Consider the following 3,878-nt stretch of genomic DNA (forward strand, 5'->3'; position numbering starts at 1 on the left):
GACCACTGGGTTGAGAACATGGTGCTGAAGCTCATAAAAAGCCCTTGCTCTGGGATTCAGACATAAGACACTGCATAAAAGCTCAACACACATCCCCTATAGTCAGTGTCTGTGATTCTCTGGAATCAAACTCTATTCTGTGAAAACAGGAACTGTGATGACACAGGCTATTCTTGGCATGGGAAATGAAACCTCAGAGGTAATCCTACTTCCATGTGGTCCCAGAGCCCTGAGCTAGGAGATGTTTATCACTATTTGGGAAACCAGAACCCTCAGTCTTTCTCCCTTGTGCCTCATCTGAAGACAGGTGAGTCCTTTGCCATCATATGAAGTCTTAATTTAGCATTGCCACATTCTGGTTCCAGATCTTTCCCTCCTGGCTGAATATTAAGACTGCATTTTATCTCTTGTCTTTCTTGGTATCTCTTCCCTATGCAAACTTCATGAACACTGGAAGGACCACCATGTCCTGAGAATCAAGAAGGCTCCATTGAGAAAGGGTGTTTTACTAGAACAAAAATGTATAGAGATATATACAAGGATTATAAATAATAATGTCTGTCTCTGTAATTATTCACACTTAGCAATTCCCAGCACCTTCTCCAGAGACTTCCCTATCTAAACCAGAAAGGTAGTCTTTGGGGAAAGTGTTTTCATCAATAAAAGGCAAGCTATGCATGAGCTATTCCTGCACTGGGCAGCAAGGAGTGAGTAGACAGTTACCTCTGCCTTCGAGTACCCCTTCATCTGACTAGGACCTGAGACTCTCTCATATCTACTTCCAAGCCCAGGTTGAGAACTTCTCTTCTTTCCTTTCTTAGTTGCTTCTACTGTGAGGTATAGATTTAAATCCAGTCACTGCCGAAGACTTCCATCAACTCATCACTCATCCTTAAGTCATCTCACATTGAGAAAAACTGGGAGCCTTCCGCTTTCCTGTTTCTTTAAAATTTGTCAGAATCTCCCCAAACCTCTAATATCTTTTTTTTCAGCAGGGGGCTGAAAAAGTGCTGTTCTCAGCACTTACTATTAAGACCAGATCTCATACTAAGGTCTAAGGCCAAATCTCATTAATTATTTTAATGGTTACTTTTGTCTTAAAGGAGCCACTGATAGGACAAGAGTATTTCAGGGTTTGGTAAATCAAAACTGTTACATTCCTTCGTGACACATGACAGAGGAAGAGTGAGCAGGGGCCCACATGTGTTATATGTAAGTACATACAGACTTGAAGACATGGTGTTCAAATAGTAGAGATATAATCATAAAAACCCAAACCCCATGTCAGCATCGTGTGAACAAAAATTTTAGTAAATACCAACTGTAAATCTCAATGAACTAGGGCAAAGGAAGTGGACAAAGCTGGGAGAAATTCTGGGATTAATCTTTGTATTTCACAATCAAAACCAAAGGCTTTTCTGTTAAGAAGAAATGGGGGAAAGGGCGGAGGGAAAATGACACTTGGTTTAGACATTGTTTACCGCAGCAGCACCCAAACCATTTTTAGCAGTATTACCAAAGCATGTATTGGATTGTATTTTCTGTTCTGTCATGATTGATGGTGAAATTAAAAGGCAGATGGACTAAAATCATCCTAGGCAAAGGCTAAGTTGATTAAGCTGATAAAGGCTGAACACCAAGTCAATGAAAAATGAGACTGAGAAAGTTATTATCACACAATAATAACACCATATTTTCTGAGGACTCAGTGAATCCCAGTTACTGCTCCAAGCTCTTTACATGTGTCTATATAGATTGCCCCATTTAATGCTAACAAGTTCTCTTGCTCCTTGTCTGATCAAGCCACGCTGTTCACTGGTTCTCTCTTCTGCATGTTCTTCTCTCTTGGGTTTGCAGAGTTCATTCCTGTTCATCCTTCAGAACTCAACTCAAATGCCACTTCCTTTCCCAATCTTTTTAATTAGGTAAAATCCCGCTATTATAGGCATTCAAAGCTATGTAGTTTTTATGCTCATAGCTTATAAAACAGTTGCAATGGAATATTTTATAAGAATATTAAAGACTTGAGTTAAGCAAAGCATGAAGCCTACTTTGGATGAGGGAAGTGAACAAAAATATTAGTCATTTGATGGGTTAAAAGGATATAGATGAAACTGTTTCAACAGGATGGCTGTGGGACCCAGGAAGTTTGCAGGGGCTGTGTCATCACACACACACAATGACTTTATCAAGAGCCCATCCTGCCTCCCCACTACTGGGAGACATCCTCTGTAGCCCCAACTGTGCCATGACTATCAGGTTCCTCCGCCAAGTGGCCTTTTATTTTCTGGAGGCAGGTAAGTAATAGGCACAGTTCATTCCAAAATCTAGAAGGAACACTTCCTCTGTGTTGGGTTTGTGCATGGCTCAGCCTCAAAGTTCATCATGAACTCTGTTGCCAGTTTTTGTCTCTTCCCATAGGCCTTAAGGAAGCTGAAATCTACCAGACCCCAAGACACCGTGTTATAGGGGCAGGAAAGAAGATCACTCTGGAATGTTCTCAAACCATGGGCCATGACAAAATGTACTGGTCAAGATCCAGGAATGGAATTACACCTCATCCACCATTCCTATGGGTTAATTCCACAGAGAAGGGAGATCTTTGCTCTGAGTCAACAGTCTCCAGAATAAGGATAGAGCGTTTTCCCCTGACCCTGGAGTCTGCCAGCCCCTCACATACCTCTCAGTACCTCTGTGCCAGCAGTGAATACACAGTGCTACATAGATACCGACACTCTGCACAGAAAGGGTCGCCTCTAAGGTGAGGACATCTTGCCTTCAGAAACCTTATCTTAAACTACAGAAACCCCTGCAAATCTTCCCAGACTCCTCAGCCTTGAGGGACCAGTGTGCTTTAAGTAACAGTCTGGACTAAAGACTATCTCTGGCTCAGTCTCTAACAAGCTGAGAAATGACCCAGCCCCACAGTCATCCTGGCTGACTTCTTCCTTGCATCTAGTTCTTGCTGTTCAATTGAGCTTGCACAAATTTTATCCTTCAAGATAAATGTGATGATATTTGACAGTTGCCTTATGGCTAGCTGAAGAAAGTCTTTGTCAGCTAAGAAACAGGAAAAGGATCCTTTAACTTTCTGCACAGGCTTTCTTTATCTCTGGTTCATGGTTCCTTCCTCATGTTAAACTCGTTCCTTCATACACAGCCACACAAAGTCCTTGCCCTTTCCTGACCCCAGTCCTGCACCTGATGACTTCAGTTCCTCTCTATGACTTTGAACTTGGAATAAATTTTTATTTTCACTTGAAATAAGTGATTAATGATTATTTTCACTAATCTCCCTCTAAATAAATGTAATTTGAGCTAAATCTGCATGAGGCCTAAGGAAGAGAAAAGGCTCCAACTTTGGAAAAGAATAGTCTTCAACAATGTCCCTGGATTCAGCCCTAAATCTCTTTGGAGACTACCCTTACCAGTGGGAGACTATCCTACAGATAGATGATTCTTCTCTCTTGGATATGCTGAATCTCAGGGAAGTGTTCTCTATCCACATGAGATCAGACCTGGGACCTTGAATAGATTGATTTATTTTTCACAAAAGCACAGACTACTGTGGGGCCCTGGGTGCTGAGCTCAGATGTGAAACTTCTGTTTTGAGGTTACCAAAAAGTAAAGTCACAGAGTCTCTGTCCTGGTTTTGCCTCCTTAAAAAGTAGCTTTAATATGTTAGAAAAGAATCTAGAAAACATAATACATATTTTATTGTAAAAGTCATTGCTTGTTCATTCTTCTTTTCTGTTTGTATTCTACAATACTAGCCATTCCTCACTCTTCTTTGTGGGCTCTTTCTATTCTCATTTTCCTTACTTTGTCCTTATTTCTGGGCTTTTTATTCTTTTCCTCTTAACCTATGCATACATCTT

General features: G+C 41.0%; 1 pseudogene, besides 3 other annotated features; it reads left to right on the forward strand.

Moving 5' to 3' along the window:
• On the forward strand, positions 2,249-2,710 carry TRBV25OR9-2 (T cell receptor beta variable 25/OR9-2 (pseudogene); annotated as a pseudogene). The gene is given in 2 exon segments: positions 2,249-2,297; positions 2,422-2,710. Coding segments are annotated over 2 exon segments (338 nt in total).
• Positions 2,711-2,717: a recombination feature (RSS heptamer).
• Positions 2,718-2,740: a recombination feature (RSS spacer).
• Positions 2,741-2,749: a recombination feature (RSS nonamer).

The sequence above is a fragment of the Homo sapiens genome, chromosome 9 (assembly GCF_000001405.40).
Source record: "Homo sapiens chromosome 9, GRCh38.p14 Primary Assembly".
Taxonomy (NCBI): domain Eukaryota; kingdom Metazoa; phylum Chordata; class Mammalia; order Primates; family Hominidae; genus Homo; species Homo sapiens.